This window comes from Homo sapiens, chromosome 1 (genome assembly GCF_000001405.40).
Source record: "Homo sapiens chromosome 1, GRCh38.p14 Primary Assembly".
Taxonomy (NCBI): Eukaryota; Metazoa; Chordata; class Mammalia; order Primates; family Hominidae; genus Homo; species Homo sapiens.
The window spans coordinates 156,719,977-156,737,302 of NC_000001.11; the positions used below are offsets into that span (position 1 = coordinate 156,719,977).

Consider the following 17,326-nt stretch of genomic DNA (forward strand, 5'->3'; position numbering starts at 1 on the left):
TCTCGAACTCCTGACCTCAAGTGATCTGTCTTAGTCTCTGTGTTGGGATTACGGGCGTGAGCCATCACATCCAACAAGACCTTAGATTTAAGCCAAAACAGGACTTGCTGACTGGGGTTCAGGCAGCAATCTACAATAGGGTTTGTCCACTATCAACTGGATGAAGTCAGGACAGAGACAGAACAGGAAGGGGATTGAAGTACAGGGGATTCCCAGGCACCCTTGCTAGGTAAGCTGGGCTCTGACAAGGAAGTGTGATGAGGGTAAACAGTTAAGGAATTGCCTGCAAGGTCTTCTCGTCTCCCAGGTTTTTCTTGGTGAGCAAAAGTAAGAATGAGCTCTTTTCTCTTTTTTTTTTTTTTTTTGAGACGGAGTCTCGCTCTGTCGCCCAGGCTGGAGTGCAGCGGTGCGATCTCGGCTCACTGCAAGCTCCGCCTCGCGGGTTCACGCCATTCTCCTGCCTCAGCCTCCCGAGTAGCTGGGAATACAGGCGCCCACCACGACGCCTGGCTAATTTTTTGTATTTTTTTAGTAGAGATGGGGTTTCACCGTGTTAGCCAGGATGGTCTCAATCTCCTGACCTCATGATCCACCCACCTCGGCCTCCCAAAGTGCTGGCATTACAGGCGTGAGCCACCGTGCCAGGCAGAATGAGCTCTTTTCAACATTGGACTGAGATCAAGTACTTTTGTTTTGAGGCTGTAGCAGTCATGTGCCCTTTTAGACACAGGGTGTGGGGGTAGGGGGATCATAAAAGCCAGTTGCTACTTTACCAAGACACATACAAAGCCAGGGTTTTTTTTTTTTTTTTTTTTGGTAGCGATGGGGTTTCACTATGTTGCCCAGGCTGGTCTCAAACTCCTGGGCTCAAGCCATCCTCCTGCCTCAGCCTCCCCAAAGTGCTGGGATTACGGGTGTGAGCCACTGCACCGGCCTGACAAAGTTAGTTTTGTTTCAGCCAGTAAGTACCCTAATGAGAATATTGTCGTTATCTTCATTTACTGATTACAATGTAGTTAAGAATCGCTTGCATGTGTGTATTCTTACCAGTTTCTGTTGCGGCCTCCTTGCACTATTCTTAGTTCTTGCTGTGCAAGGATACCTGGCACCCCTTTGTGAAGTCATGGACATTAAATATGTTGGGCCCCACAGGAACCAATTTGCTCAGAGCACAATGGCTGCCTGTGCAACAGACCCCACAGTGCAGGCCTCAACAAGACCATGTCTGGGTCTGGTCTGGCTGCACGAAATTCACTTCTATAGGCAGCTGTGACCGTGACTCTGGCCCCTGGAACCAGACCAGCCACTCAAGAATGCAAAAGTCCTTGTGTAGACATGGAGTCTGCATTCTCTCAAGAAAGTGCAGATAATGATCCTGGACACAAGGTCAGACTGGTGACTCTTTCCCAAGATGGGGTGTGTACCACCAAAAGCTGGCAGCAGGACCAGGCTGTCATCACCAAGCACCCTTTCTCCCCTGCTCTGCCCCTCCTTCATGCCCACTCTCTCTATCTCACTCTCCTGGTCACATACCCTGTGTGTGTCAGGGGGAGTTGCATGGCTTGGGGTGTCATTTTAGGTGTGCTCATTCCTTTTTTTTAAAATTGAGATGGGGTCTATTTTGCCTGGGCTGGATTTAAATTCCTGGGCTCAAGGAATCATCATGCCTTAGCCTCCCGGGTAGCTGGGATTACAGGCGTGAGCTGCCATGCTCAGCTCTGATGTGTGGTAGGGATGAGGACAAGGAACCATATGTGTCACGTGGGTTACGCACAAAGGCTTGGTCAGTTCTATGACTTCCAGGAAGGGCCCCAGTTAGTGTCATCCAGTGAACCTGGAAATCCCCTAAGAAAACTACAGCTCCACAATACTTTGTGATAGAGCTATTTAACATAAAGAAGAAACTGTACATAATTGCTTTTCCATTATAAAAATTTATCAAGGGAATAATTTGAGTTTTTAGAGGCTTGGTTTAGCAAGGTAAAAAAGACAACCAAATTATTAAAACACTTTATAAATTATTTTAAAACCTACCAACTGGGGCCTAAATGAAATAAACCCCCTATTACCTTAGGAAAGAGACAGCTTTCCTAAATCACAGAAGTTGGTTTCCAAGCTACACTCTTACTTCTAATGCCTTGGAACCCTAAGGAGAACTAAAGCTCACCAGCGATGGCTGCTCTGGAAGTCAAGGTGGGAAGAACAGGCAATATCCTGACACAGGCTAGATACAGACTCTGAGCCAAAAGCAGACTCTGTGACATGGAAAGGGACCACACAATTTTAATTTTTTTTTTTTTTTGAGACAGAGTCTCGCTCTGTGGCCGTGGCCCAGGCTGGAGTGCAGTGGCACAATCTCGGCTCACTGCAAGCTCCGCCTCCTGGGTTCACGCCATTCTCCTGCCTCAGCCTCCCAAGTAGCTGGAACTACAGGTGCCCGCCACCACGCCTGGCTAATTTTTTGTATTTTTAGTAGAGACGGGGTTTCACCGTGTTAGCCAGGATGGTCTCGATCTCCTGACCTCGTGATCTGCCCGTCTCGGCCTCCCAAAGTGCTGGGATTACAGGCGTGAGCCACCACGCCCGGCAGGGACCACACAATTTATTAACCAACCAGGTTAATAAATTCTTTTTTTTTTTTTTTGGAGACGGAGTCTCACTCTTGTCACCCAGGCTGGAGTGCAGTGACACGATCTCGGCTCACTGCAATCTCCGCCTCCTGGGCTCAAGCGATTCTCCTGCCTCAGCCTCCTGAGTAGCTAGGATTACAGGCTCCTGCCACCACACCCCACACATTTTTTGTATTTTTAGTAGAGAACGGGAATTCGCCATGTTGGCCAGGCTGGTCTTGAACTCCTGATCTCAGGTGATCCGCCCGCCTCGGCCTCCCTAAGTGTTGGGACTACAGGTGTGAGCCACCATGCCTGGCCCCAACCAGAACACTTCTGAGCGTGGAAGAGGATGCTGTTAATTACTCAAGACCAAAAGGCATAAAAGGAGACATATGTCCACCCAAGTGATAAGGCAGTTTGGGAAACTACATTTCCCAGTATGCCCTGCCCCTTGAAAGTTAAAAATCTTAACTGGCACAGAGCACCCTGGGACACCTGTGGTTAGCACCATTTAAGAAGTAAAAGGTATAGGGTTGGGTTCTGACGTGAAGGCTTTCCCCTTCCATGGGACACTTAACCAGACACAGGACACAACACCTGAGGTGAAATTTCAATGGGTATTAAGTCTGGGGTAGAGCTTCTCTCTCCCCAAATCTAGCTTCCAAAGATGTGGAGCTGGTGGAGCTGTCCATTGGTCCACTGCCCTGTTTCTCCTGGGTGCTGCCTCTGCCTCCTCATATCACCAGCGTCCCCACTGCCACTAGTCTGTAGGGGGATTCCGGGCTAGGTGCTCTTCCCACTCGACTTCAACCAACTTATATAGCTCCATGGTGGCCTGGGCATCTTCCACAGAGGAATGTCCGCTCTTCCCAACCTGAGCAAGCAAGGAAGACAAGAGCATGAAGAGAAAAGAAACCGTTTCTTCCTTCCCAGTGTACTCTCTGTACTCCTCTTCCCCCTGCCTCCGCTACACAGTTTCTTCTGCAGTCAGCAGCCTACAAAGACAGAATTCTGGTGGGGTCCTACTCCTTATGTAATTTCAGGGGTTCAACTCCTAGGAAGTCTTTGCCACTGTCTACCTCAGTCCTTTCTGTGGCAGTATGTATAAGCCATATTAGGTTCTGTAGAGATAGAACATACCAGGTCAAAGACAGGTCTTCTGAGTCTTCCACTTTCCCTAGTTCCTTAACTGCTCTATATGTGACATATGTCCCCATCTTCCTGCCAGATGGGCCACCCTTTGCTGAAATATAGCGTGTAAAATACGAGCGGTCCTTGCATCCACTACACGGTCTCTTGGACCACCACTGCTACCTGCTTTCTTCCTTAGTTAGGGTTTTATATCTACTTAGGACTTTTTCCCTTTTCCAAAGCACACTTTGAAACATTCTATGAGGTAGACAACAGGAATTATTATCCTGTGTACAGATGGAGCTCTTCCCATCACAGCAGCCCACCTGGATCTCTACAACCACAGGACTTCTGAGATCAGAGTCTGGCTAGGGGCATCAACGAGAGCCATGTCCAAGATGGGGGCGGGGGATGTGGGGAGATGCTACCTGGATATCCCGGTTTAGCAGCTTCTTGGTGAGATGCTTCAGAGACATGGTGGCATTCTCCGGGCAGTCAGCCTTCCGGTTGAGGGGGGGGATATGGGAGGTGTCACGGGTGAGGGACTTGGGGTGAAAGTACTGAAGGGCTTTGAAGTCGTTGTGGATGGCATGCCCCACCACTATCTTCCCTGTGAGTATCTTCAAGATCTGGAAGAAGTGTGGGAAGAGAGTGGTGAGAAGGAAGACTGAAGTGGAACCCCTGCATTCTGAAAGCCCAACATGACCATCAATCCCTTCTGGATTCTTTCACCAACTGCCTACCTCTCCATCCTTGAAATGCTCACTCCCACAAGTTTTCTTTCTTCTGGAATCCACCTTCCTCTTCCACAGGTGATTTCCATGGTATACCCTGTTTGGACTCATACTGCCAGTGGCTCCTTACCTTCTTATTGATCTCCACCCCATGACATTAATTTGCCTTCAGTCCTAAATGACACTCATGTTTGAGATGTCCATGTATTTAGTTCAGTTCTGGCTTGCTACATGAAGTCCTTTAACTATTACCATTATGTTGGCCTTAGACACATGGCTGGGACCCGGGCTCCAGGGAGGCTAACAAAAGCCCAAAATTACATGCAATTAGATGTGTATGGGTACTAGAGGAAGAGAATCTGTGGCTTTCATCAAATTCTCAGAGTCTACAAACCGTAAAAAATTAAGAATCACATATAAACTAAAGTTGCAGAAGCAACCTTATTCACACTAGTTTTGGAACCAAGTAAAATAAAAATAACTTCTCAATATTTCAGGAAACTGTTTTTTTTTTTTGAGATGGAGTCTTGCTCTGTTGCCCAGGCTGGAGTGTACTGGCGCGATCTTGGCTCACTACAACCTCCGCCTCCCGGGTTCAAGCGTTTCTCCTGCCTCAGCCTCCCAAGTAGCTGGGACTACTGGCACCTGCCACCATGCCTGGCTAAGTTTTGTATTTTTAGTAGAGACGGAGTTTCACCATATGGGCCAGGCTGGTCTTGAACTCCTGATCTTGTGATCTGCCCGCTTCAGGCTCCCAAAGTGCTGGGATTACAGGTGTGAGCCACCACACCTGGCCTTCAGGTAACTTATTTTTTAAAAGAGATGAGGTCTTGCTATTTTTCCCAGGTTGGCTGGCCTCAAACTCCTGGGCTCAAGCAATGCTCTCACCTCAAACTCCTGAGTAGCTGGGATTACAGACACATGTCACCACACCTAGCCATTTCAGGCTCTTGAAGTAGGAGGACATGCTACCAATGAGGACAACCGAAGAACACACCACAGGCTCTGAAGGCCATTCCCAAATGAGGTTCCAAACAGGTTTTCAACAAAAGTGACAGTCCTGCATAGCCTCCCAAAGGGACCCCCTCTGAAGGGGCTAGGCTCATCTGGACATACCTTAGTCTCATAACCCCAGCTTGGCACTGGGGAAGTGCTTTATGATGAAAACCAGACGTAGTCCCGTGAACTAGATATTTCGTTACTCCTGACTTCACCTACTTACTGTCCACCACCACCTTCACTTCTTATTAACCTCGACATATAGCCCTCATCAAAGCTGGGCAGATTTGCTGTCTCAGACCCGTCCCATCTTCTGCCTCTCCTATGCCTTTGCTTGGCTGCGCCCCTTTGTGCACAAGATGTTTAACTCTTCTTTCCGTCTTTTCTAAAATAGTCAGTCACCTCACCTCTAACGAACCTCCTCCAACTGACCGCATATAAGGCATTATGGGAACAGCGTGTCCAGAGAGGGCAGAGTGTGGACCTGAAACTGCAAAGACGTGGACCAAGGGCGCCCTCTGGCGGCCTCCTGAGACCAGCAGGTCTCTTGCTCTCCCTTCACTTCCTCTTTCACCCCTCCCAGCTCACTCTCCTTTCCGTTCATGCCTTGCGCTCCATGGCCAGCACAGGGCTAGGAGTGAGATGACAACCCGAAGTGCCGGCCCTGTGCCGTTTATGCCGTTCACTGGTTACCTGTTCCAGTTGGACAATATATACCCCAGCTCCTCCTGTCAACTTTCTGCCCTCTCTTACCACCACCACTTTCCGCACTTGCCCCAGGCTACTTTTTGCTTGGGACGAGCTCTCCACCTTTCCTCTCTCAAGCTTAGGCTCCAACTCGCAAGGTTTTTCCAAATCAAGCCCTTTCTCCTGACACTGGTGTCTGCAGCTCTGTCTAGTTTCATCACTTGCTGTTATTTTTCTATGCAGATTCCCAGTTCCCCAGACCCAATTTAGAACCTAAAATAGTTTTTTTGTTTGTTTTTTTGAGACAGGATCTCACTCTGTCGCTCAGGCTGGAGTGCAGTGGCAGTGGTGTGATCTCAGCTCACTGCAGCCTCGACCTCCTGAGTAGCTGGGACTACAGGCATGTACCACACTTGGCTAACTTTTTTGTAGATGAGTTCCGCTATGTTGCCCAGACAGGGCTTGAGTTCCTGGGCTTGAGCGATTCTCCCGCCTCAGCCTCCCAAAGTGCTGGGATTATAGGCAAGTGCCACTGCGCCCGGCTAAAATAGATCTTGACCAATGAAGTTTGTGACACCAGCTAATTGTACCTTCCTGACTTTCACTGCTTCTTCCACCGACAGGGGGCCTTCTTCAACAACTGATAGATTCTCCTCCCTCCCTCCACAAACGTTGGTGTCTTCCCATAGTGATATCCTTTGCTGAAAAATGATTTAGACCTCTCTCCATCCACCTCCCTGCCACCATCAAGCCCCATGCTTCTTACCTGGCCTCGAGCAATCTTGAAGGGTGTGGCATTCACCATGTGCTGCTTCCGGATACCACTCCACCTGGTTCGGTAGTCCACAATGTGGCAGGGGGGAAGAATGTACTCGTCATAAAGCACATCTCCGTTGTAGTTGACAATGCTACATCGAGCCAAGGAACTAACATGCCCCTTTGGTCCTGTGCCCACCATCTCACAGTCAATTGCCACCATCTTCCGTGGCAACTTCTGGGATGCTCCGGAGCATTTATTCTCTGAATGAGCTTGGGTGGAGTTCTGTGGGGCATTCTTCTGAGGATGGTTCTTTTTAGAGGATTTCTTCTGGGAGCTCTTCTTCTGAGAGCGGGTTGGGTGGCTATTGATCTTTGGAAGGGCACTCTGGAACTCCCCCAGCAAATCTACTTTAGCAGCAACAGAATCAGCCTTTTTTGAAGGGGCAGGGGTCAACCAAGACACTGCAGCTTTCTTGTCCAGGGGCTGTCCTGACCCATTGCTGGAAGCAGCTGTCTTCTTTTTTGGGAAGGAAGGGGTCTTCCAAGTGCCATCGACCGTAGGAGTTTCCCCTTTCTTTGAAGGTTCAGAGTGCAACTTAGGCGCCTTGCTAGGGGGTTGGTTCTTTTTACTCAGAAAGCCTCTCCGTTCTAAGAGCCTCCGCTTCTTGACAAAATTTCGGTGCTTGGCATTTCCTTCTAATGCCTTTTTGGGAGGAGGTTCCCCAAAATCCAGATTGAGCAGTAAAGTAGACATAGGGACAATGGAAGGCGGAAGAGTAGTTGGGAAGAGTGGCTTATGGATGAAAAGAGGATGTGGGACTCATTCTCTGCTGAATCCTACTGTCCAACATGTGGAGGTCTGTAGTACACCCTGGGGAAGAAAGTGATCCTGGTAATTGAGCTCCTAGGCCTGGGAGAAAAATGAGGTAAGCTCGATCTCCGTAGGACTTATGGAAGGAAAGACATCAGAGCAATCTCTCAGACAGAGGGGAAATGAAAACATAACATGAAATGATGGAGGGAGCATTGGTGTTAGCCAGCAAGCCTGGATTCTAGTGAAGCCCAATTCACCAGCCATTTGGTCTTAGTAAGGTCATTACCGCGCTCTAGGTTTGAGTCTCATTTGTAAAATGAAGGGAGTGGAGGGGCTTATAGAGCTCGAACCCTCTGAGTCTAAGAGGCTAGAACACGTGCGATCTATACTCCGCCTAGGAAAGGAACATCTAGGTATGCTCAAAAACAGTGAGAAGTATGGCGTAGATAACCTCTGGGCTACCCAGGCATCCGCAGCGTGGACCACCAATAGAGACACAAATCCAGGCATCCCTTTCCCTTGGCTCCAGGCCGGAATTGGGGGCAATCTCCGCATGCATCTCACCCAAGTCCTTCTCCCACGCAAGGACCTTGACACCATCTACCAGCGCGGGGGTGGGATCGAGGCTTGAGGCAGCCCACCTGGATAAGCATACTTCGGATCCCCGCGGTACAGATCGATCTCTCACGCTCACAAACCTACCTCCCAGACGGGTCCAGCTAAGACCGGAAGCGTCCGGAGCCGGATGCGGAAATCGGTGCGCGCCGACGAAGCCCGGGAAGGCAGGCGCGCGGGTTAGAACGCGCCAGAGGTCGGCGCGCGCACACCCGCACCGCCCCGACCCCAGGTAGTGAGGCCAGTGATTCCGAGTGTGTGAGGAGCGGCAGTGGCGGCGGAGGAGGGGGCGGCGTGGGTGGGGGCGGGGGCGGGATGCGCTCCCCGGCCCCTCTAGCCCCGTGGTGGTACAACGCGAAGGTGTGGGAAGGCCGCGATAAACCGGAACTGCAGCCCGCCGGACACCTCCGGCTTCACTTCCGTAAGAGGAGAGGAGTGTACGGCAAGGGGCGGGAACTGGAACTTGGCCCGCCTCGTTGTGAGCTGAGCTCAGCGGCACGCTTTTGTGGCGTCACTGCACTGTTACCCCGCCCTACGTGTCTCTGACGCTGACACCTTCTCACTGTGAAACGTCGCGACCTGTGACGTCTGGGGGGCGCCTCAAATCTTCCACTCCAGCATCGGATCCCGGAAAGGCAGCGTCGGAGACTGGACCCAAAACTCTTCCTGTTCTGCCTGCAGAGTTGAGCCCCGTCCGGGTCCTGGACCCGCGTAGTACTGACCCTGGATCCCTGTTCACTGCGTTCTCGCTCCCCGCGCTCCCTGCTGGACCCCGGGATGCCGGGCATCTCCGCCCGAGGCCTCTCTCATGAGGGGAGGAAGCAGCTAGCTGTTAACCTCACCCGTGTCCTGGCACTCTACCGTTCCATCTTGGATGCCTACATCATCGTGAGGCCACAGGGGCGTGGGTGGGATGTCTCTGGTCGTGTGGTTGGCTAGGTGCCCACGTCAGGGAGAGAATCTGGAGAATTAGCCTCTGATCTCTTTCCTTCTATGAGTTTCAGTCTTTTTCTGTACAAGAAGGGGTTAAAACTGGAGTGATCCCTCCTTTTTTTTCAGCTGACATAAATAATATTTCTTTTTTTTTCTTTTTCTTTTTTTTTTTCTTTTTTTTTTTGAGACGGAGTCTCGCTCTGTCCCCCAGGCTGGAGTGCAGTGGCACGATCTCGGCTCACTGCATAAATAATATTTCTAGTACCTACCTAGATTGTTTTTGTAATCTTCCCAGATCCAAGGTAATAAAATGCGTGGACATTGGAACCATGCTGCAACTATGTTGAACTCTTCTTGGAGCATGTCAGGTGTTCCAAGAACACACGTTATTCATCCAAGCTTTGAATAAATTCGTGGTTTTGTGGTATAGTAGACAGTCCTGGCTCTGGAATCAAAAAGGCTTAGTCTAGAATCCTGCCTCCCCTATGATGTTAACCTTAGGCCTCCCTAACCCCCAACTTGTCCTAGTCCGGGTTTCCTCAGCTATACAATGGATCCCAGTCTGAAGGATTATTGTGAAGAATAAATGAGAGAATGTGTAAATGGCACCACCATCCACTGAATTGTTTAGACCACAAACCCAGAGGCCATCATTGATTCAGTGCTGTCCTTCATTGATCCACAATCCAGTTCTTCAACAAGTCCTCTTGGCTCTGCCTTCGGAATAGATCCCAAATTCATCCATTTGTCCCCACCTCCGTTGCTGCCACCCTAGGCCAAGCCACCATCACCTCTCTTCTGAACTACTTCCTAACCGATCTTGCTGTGTGCTTACCTCTGCCCTGCCATTACCAATTCTTCACTGAGCAGCTAGATTGATAGCATTCAAATGTAAATCTGATCACGACAATCCCTTGCTTCCTAGATACTTTTATGAAATCCTAACTCCTTACTATTACCTATAAAACCCATATTCTGGCTCCTACTGTCTCTTGAACTCTATCCCATTTTATTCTCTCACACATTTCACTGTGCTATACCTCTGCTGGCCTGATTTCTGTTCTGCCAATATGGCAGGCATCTGGACCTTTGCACTCACTGCTCTTCCGCCACAGAAAGGCAATCGCAGAATGGTTAAGAACAAGGACTCTAGAGTAAAATTGGTTTCAAATCCCAGCTCAGGCCGGGTACGATGGCTCACACCTGTAATCCTAGCACTCTGGGAGGCCGAGGTGGGTGGATTGCCTGAGCTCAGGAGTTTGAGACCAGCCTGGGCAACACGGTGAAACCCCGTCTCTACTAAAATAAAATAAAATAAAAAAATAGCTAGGCTTGGCAGCACACACCTGTAGTCCCAGCTACTAGGGAGGCTGAGGCAGGAGAATTGCTAGAACCAGGGAGGCGGAGGTTGCAGTGAGCTGAGATCGCGCCACTGCACTCCAGCCTAGGTGGCAGAGTGAGACTCCATCTCTAAAAATAAATAAATAATCCCAGCTCAGCTATTTGCTAGCTTTTGGACGTGGGCAAGTTACTTAAGTGCTGTGCCTGTTTCTACATCTGTAAAATGGGGGATAAAAAATAATACCTACCTCAAAGTGTTGTTTAAAGGATCAAATGCATTAATACATGTCAAATGTTTACAGCAGTACCTGGCCGAGAAGGTGTTAAATAAGTGTTTGCTATTACCTGTATTTTCTTTACATGCCTAGCACCTATTCATCATTCAAGTCTCAGCTCAAATGTCACCTCAGACAGGTCTTCCCTCATCATCCTATCTAAAGTAGTCCTTGCCCAAACTCTCCATTACATTACTGTTTCATTAGTGTTTTGTCTATATGACATATGATGTTGTCTGAAGTTTTGTTTTGGTTTGTTTTTTTTGAGAGGGAGTTTTGCTCTGCTGCCCAGGCTGGAGTGCAGTGGCACAATCTAGGCTCACTGCAGCCTCTGCCTCCAGGGTTCCAGTGATTCTCCTGCCTCAGCCTACTGGGTAGCTGGGATTACAGGCGTGTGCCAACATGCCTGGCAAATTTTTGTAATTTTAGTCGAGACGGGGTTTCACCATATTGGCCAGGCTGGTCTCGAACTCCTGATCTCAGGTGATCTGCCCGCCTTGGTCTCCCAAAGTGCTGGGATTACAGGCGTGAGCCACCATGCCCGGCCAAAGTTATTATTTTTTTTAATGTAAACTCTGCAGGAGCCAGAATCTTGTCTCAGGTTCACTGTTGTATTCCCTGAGCCTACAATAGAGCTTGATGTATAACCGAAACACAGCCCCAGAATTTGTGGTGGACGAATGAATAAAAAGACACCAGTGTCTGGCACATATAATGCAGGTTACTAAGTGGTAATGTACTAATACTGTGTGTCAGTCACTCTGGTAAGTGTTAGGGATGCAGATGTGAAGATACCATCCCATCCCTCCCCTTAAGAAATTCAATTTAATAGAGAAAACAGACACAAATAAGTGCAGAAATTGCTAAAAGAAGTGTGTCCAGAATGCAATCTGGACTCCAGGGAAACAGAGTTAAGCCACCAGAGTCGGGGAGGCTGGAGCAGGCTTCAGAGAACTGACTCGGCTTAGCAGGAGGTACCTGCCAGTTACAGGCAGTGGCCCTATGTGGCAGCAGTGCTGGGAAGAGGCAGGCAATGAGGTGTGTAGTTGAGAGTGGTGTGGGAAAGAATGGGAGTGGTAGTAGCTTGCTGATGGCTTCTCCCCTTCTTCTGTAGGAATTTTTCACAGACAACCTATGGGACACACTCCCTTGCTCATGGCAGGAAGCATTGGATGGACTGAAACCACCACAGCTGGCCACAATGCTGCTGGGGATGCCTGGGGAAGGGGAGGTCGTCAGGTATGGGCTAGAAGGTCCCTGTGCTGGGGAACTCAAGGCTTTAAGCCCTGCAGTGAGCATATTGCTCAGAGAGTCTCATAAGGTCTTCCTGGGCCTCGGGTTGTAAACTGCTGCACTCAGATGTGATGGGACTATTCACTGGAGGCCTCGGCTGGACTATCTCAGGTACAGGTCAGTGTGGCCACTCACCCTGCTGGCCCTGAAGTCCACGGCGTGTGCCCTGGCCTTTACCCGGATGCCTGGCTTTCAGACCCCCTCAGAATTCCTGGAGAACCCCAGCCAGAGCTCCCGACTAACAGCTCCATTCCGGAAACATGTCAGGCCCAAGAAGCAGCATGAGATCCGGAGGCTGGGAGAGGTGAGGAGATGGCTGGAGCATGGGTGGTGTCTGGGAGCCCAGGGACTCCTTAAGCCTGGCTTACAAATATGTGTGCCCTTTACCTCACATGCAAGGCCAGAGGCCCTAGACATTCCTTTACCTCAACAGACATAACTAATCATATTTTGATGCTGGGGTTCTTTTTCATTCTTTTGTGGGGTTGGTTGGCAGCTAGGTCTGAATCACTGTCTCATTCCTGTTCCCAAATCTCCACAATCTGCTCATGGCTTCACGCAGGGTTCTTGTTCTGTGGGGGAGATTGAATCACTGACCTGTGAGGCAAGGAGAGTGGGCCTGAACCTGGGGTCAGGTCCACTCTCCTTGCTTCCACCCTCACCCTTATATCTTTCTTTCCAAATCTGTCTTCACATCCAGGGCACCCTCTGTCCATCTTTCTCTGTCATCTTTGTCTCTTCCACTCTCAGTATGGGTGTTTGCCCCAGGAGTCAATAACCAGTGGCTAGGAGACCTTTGTTTCCTCCTTTTTCAGTTGGTGAAGAAGCTGAGTGATTTCACAGGCTGCACCCAGGTTGTAGACGTGGGCTCAGGCCAGGTGAGCCAGAGTCTTGATGTACTGTTTTTTTGAGTCATGGGGACATAGAACACCTGGAAGGCAGGTTATCGGGCCACAGGCCCAGCGAGGCAGGTGTCAAGAAGCGTGGAATTTTTTTTTTCTCTTTGCATAATTTTTTTTAAGCCAGTCAGATTTAACAATGGGGGAGTTATATACCAACTTAAGCCACACTGATGTTAATAAGTTCTGTAGGGTAAAATTTAAGCCTTCTGTGGGGCCTGGGACCCAGGTGTCCAGGTTACCCATGGGGAGGGTGATAGTGGATAGGGCACTGAACAGGGCTGTTTCCATCCTCCTCGTGACTCCAGGGCCATCTCTCCCGCTTCATGGCTCTTGGCCTGGGGTTGATGGTGAAGAGCATCGAAGGGGATCAGAGACTGGTGGAGAGAGCCCAGCGCCTGGACCAGGAGCTTCTGCAGGCTCTGGAGAAAGAGGAGAAGAGGAACCCGCAGGTAGGCCAACCCTTCCTGCGACCTGGACTGCAGGAGCAGGGGCTGCTTGGCTGGAATTGAGCACAGAGGCTGGATTACATCTTTCAAGTTTCTCAGCTTGAACTGGTGTGGTCCCTAATTTCTATTACCTCTTTCCCAAGGTTGCCCTTTCCCCAGTGCCTCCCTGTATCTCAAAGTTACTTTCTATTTACAAAGTGCTTTCCACACCAATGTATACTTCTCACTACCTGTGAAGTGGCCAGTCAGGTTTTAGACTTGTTACAAATAAGAAAACTGGGTCTCAGATGAAAAGATGTACATGGTGAATGATAGGTCCAGGACTTTTCCCCCTCTCCTGACTTGTGGTCCAGCCCCTCCCGCACCCACCTTATCTCCCACATTCCTCCTTGGGGAATAACATGGAGGACAGATCCCTTCCTGTGGCCTGAGGTGGCCTGGGGACAGCAAACAGACTTCCCATCTGCCTTTGTCCTTTCCTGCTTCCACAGGTGGTCCAAACCAGCCCTCGTCACTCCCCACACCACGTGGTTAGGTGGGTAGACCCCACAGCCCTGTGTGAGGAGCTTCTGCTTCCACTGGAGAACCCGTGTCAGGGCAGGGCCCGCTTGCTGCTCACAGGCCTCCACGCCTGTGGGGATCTGAGTGTTGCCTTGCTGAGACACTTCTCCTGCTGTCCTGAGGTGGTGGCCCTGGCCTCAGTGGGCTGCTGCTACATGAAGCTGAGTGACCCTGGCGGCTACCCACTGAGTCAGTGGGTGGCTGGGCTGCCTGGCTATGAACTGCCCTACCGGCTTCGGGAGGGGGCCTGCCATGCCCTGGAGGAATATGCTGAGCGGCTACAGAAAGCTGGCCCTGGCCTTCGAACTCACTGCTACCGTGCAGCACTGGAGACAGTCATCCGACGGGCCCGGCCCGAGCTCCGTCGGCCAGGCGTGCAGGGTATCCCCAGGGTCCACGAGCTCAAGATTGAAGAGTGAGGTTGGGGGACGGGTGGGGGGCAGTGGAGAGGAGATTTCTTTTTTTTTTTTTGAGATGGAGTCTGGCTCTGTTGCCCAGGCTGGAGTGCAGTGGAGCGATCTCGGCTCACTGCAAGCTCTGTCTCCTGGGTTCATGCCATTCTCATGCCTCAGCCTCCTGAGTAGCTGGGACTACAGGTGCCCGCCACTACACCCGGCTAATTTTTTGTATTTTTAGTAGAGATGGGGTTTCACCATGTTAGCCAGGATGGTCTCAATCTCCTGACCTGGTGGTCCGCCCACCTCGGCCTCCCAAAGTGCTGGGATTACAGGCGTGAGCCACCGCACCCGGCCTGGAGGGGAGATTTCTAACGGAGATCTTCTACCCTCACTTTCAGCATAGCCTAAAGAAAATCTAAGTATACCCAGAGGAATGATTTGGAGTTCTCTGATCAGGGTACCTTCTCAAAATTTCTTTAAGAGAGTTGTCCCTCTTTTATCAGGAGACTAACAAAGAAACATGAAGTTTTGGCCAGGCGCGGTGGCTCATGCCTGTAATCCCAGCACTTTGGGAGGCTGATACGGGCCGATCACCTGAGGTCAGGAGTTCGAGACTAGCCTGGCCAACATGGCGAAACCCCGTCCCTACTAAAAATACAAAAATTAGCCAGGCGTGGAGGCATGCGCCTGTAATCCCAGCTACTCCGGAGGCTGAGGCAGGAAAATCGTTTGAACCCGGGAGGCAGAGGTTGCAGTGAACTGAGATCGCGCCACTGTACTCTAGCCTGGGCGACAGAGCAAGACTCTGTCTCCAAAAAAAAAAAAAGTTTTTTAAATGCTAAAAGTATGGCTAAATAGTTGGACAGAACTGGCTGAAAATGTTTAAATCAATTTACTATTAGACAGACAGCTCACAGCCAGAGAAACATTCAAAAATACATGGCCAGGTGTGGTGGCTCATGTGTATAATCCCAGCTCTTTGGGAGGCCAAGGCAGGAGGATTGCTTGAGGCTGGGAGTTAGAGACCAGCCTGGGCTACGTAGAGAGACCCTGTCTGTAAAAAAAAAAAAAAAAAAAAAAAAAAAAAAAATATATATATATATATATATATGCACATATGTTCATGAAAACGCATATTGGGGTAGAAAATAAAGCAAAGTTGGAACTGAATTAGGAACAAGCAAAGTTTAAGTGAGAGGTGACAGTTCTTAAAACCAAACTGAGTGCTGAATGTGACTGATCCCACAGATATGTGCAGCGGGGGCTACAGCGAGTGGGGCTAGATCCCCAGCTGCCACTGAATCTGGCTGCCCTTCAGGCCCACGTGGCCCAGGAGAACCGTGTGGTGGCCTTCTTCAGCCTGGCTCTACTGCTTGCCCCACTGGTGGAGACGCTTATTCTACTGGACCGGCTGCTGTACCTTCAGGAACAGGGTGAGGGTGGCCTACAGCAGGGACCCAAGGACTATAGTGACTGGGGTTCTGGGGCTCCTTCTCCAAGTCCCAGCCCCAACATCTTCTGGGCCTAGCTAATCACTGTTGTGATCCTTGGACCCCACCTTTGAGTAGGGGATTGGGAGTAGGGGATTTGTTAAAAAATTAAGAATCCAGGCTGGGTGCGGTGGCTCATGCCTATAATCCCAGCACTTTAGGAGGCCAGGGTGGGTAGATCACTTGAGGTCAGGAGTTCAAGACCAGCGATGGTGAAACCCCATCTCTAGTAAAAATACAAAAAGTAGCCGGGTATGGTGGCGCACACCTGTAGTCTCAGCTATTTGGGTGGTTGAGGCAAAAGAATTGCTTGAACCCAGGAGGCGGAGGTTGCAGTGAGCCGAGACTGCACCACTGCACTCCAGCCTGGGCAACAGAGACTCCATCTCAAAAAAAATATTAAGATTCCTACCAAATCAGCCTCTGGTGAACCTCTCTAAGGTGCATGTTAAGCAAGCTTCCCAGGCATCGAGAACCTACAATGCAAGAGGACTGCCTCCCAAGTCAGTGCCTTGGGAACCCGTGTTCCTTATGGAGAACGGGGTCTCCTTAGCCCCGCTGGATCCTCCCCCATGGGGAAAAGGGACTATGCCTACAGGCCTGGGCAGAAGAGGCTGAGTGAGTTTGGTTCATTCTTCCCCTTATGATTAAGCCCTTTCTCCCAGGTTTCCATGCTGAGCTCCTGCCCATCTTCAGTCCTGAACTCTCTCCCAGAAACCTGGTTCTGGTGGCCACCAAGATGCCCCTGGGTCAGGCTCTTTCTGTTCTGGAGACTGAAGACAGCTGATGCAGCCTGAGGAAACATCTCAGACCCCATCATCTGAAAGTGCCCAGAGAGCACAGTGGCAGAGTACATCTCATCCAGAGAAACAGCATCCTGCATCCTCCAGAGTCCTGGTTCCTTCAGTTTCATCCCCTTTCTCTCCTTCCATGGATTATGTAATACATTGTAAAGTTTTAATTAATTAAAAATTGGATATCTGTTTCCTTCCCATTTCTGTAGGTAGATAAAAGGAGATGCGCACCCTTCCTGTGGCACTGCTGCAAGGGTGCTACAGTTAGGACTCAGACGCCACTCCCCACTGGCCTCCCTAGCAGGTGGGGTAGGTGATGGCTTCTGTTACTCACAGATTTCCATGAAGGGGACTTCTCTCCCCCTCTTTGGCCTCCAACTCAGAATCTGCAGGCCCTGCCCCTTGGGAGGGCCGCCTTAAGGCCAGCTAACTTCCATCCAGGTTCTGTCATAAACTCAGGAAAGAAGCTTCTTCCCTTCAGTCCCTGAGAGTGTGCTGGGATTAGGGGTGCCATTCTACCACACAGCAGCTGTACACAGGAG

The 17,326-nt window shown here is 50.2% G+C and overlaps 2 protein-coding genes across 20 annotated transcripts, besides 1 other annotated feature; one reads left to right on the forward strand and one right to left on the reverse strand.

Moving 5' to 3' along the window:
* Nucleotides 1–1,914: 1,914 nt before the first annotated feature.
* On the reverse strand, nucleotides 1,915–8,790 carry ISG20L2 (interferon stimulated exonuclease gene 20 like 2). Of its 6 annotated transcripts, none has more exons than NM_001370151.1 (4): nucleotides 8,439–8,790; nucleotides 6,930–7,832; nucleotides 4,172–4,372; nucleotides 1,915–3,486 (listed from the first exon to the last, which is right to left on the reverse strand). In NM_001370151.1, the coding sequence occupies exons 2-4, from the start codon at nucleotides 7,674–7,676 to the stop codon at nucleotides 3,373–3,375; spliced, it is 1,062 nt and encodes a 353-aa protein (NP_001357080.1). In that variant the 5' UTR covers nucleotides 7,677–7,832; nucleotides 8,439–8,790; the 3' UTR covers nucleotides 1,915–3,372.
* Nucleotides 8,486–8,705: a silencer, noted in NCBI's record as "silent region_1434". NCBI's record gives its function as "represses an Ori minimal core promoter by ATAC-STARR-seq in GM12878 lymphoblastoid cells {active_cell/tissue: GM12878}" and the evidence as "EXISTENCE:reporter gene assay evidence [ECO:0000049][PMID:35858748]".
* METTL25B (methyltransferase like 25B) lies at nucleotides 8,493–16,984 on the forward strand. 14 transcript variants are annotated; one of them, XM_005245234.6, is made up of 8 exons: nucleotides 8,493–9,239; nucleotides 12,015–12,139; nucleotides 12,305–12,497; nucleotides 13,009–13,071; nucleotides 13,401–13,544; nucleotides 14,033–14,517; nucleotides 15,749–15,933; nucleotides 16,643–16,984. In XM_005245234.6, exons 1-8 carry the CDS (start codon nucleotides 9,129–9,131, stop codon nucleotides 16,666–16,668), a joined length of 1,332 nt encoding a protein of 443 aa, XP_005245291.1. In that variant the 5' UTR covers nucleotides 8,493–9,128; the 3' UTR covers nucleotides 16,669–16,984. The 14 variants fall into 14 exon arrangements, with proteins under 14 accessions (XP_005245291.1, NP_057081.3, XP_024303189.1 ...); NM_015997.4 differs by having other exon boundaries at nucleotides 16,656–16,984; XM_024447421.2 differs by having other exon boundaries at nucleotides 14,033–14,076.
* Nucleotides 16,985–17,326: the final 342 nt, after the last annotated feature.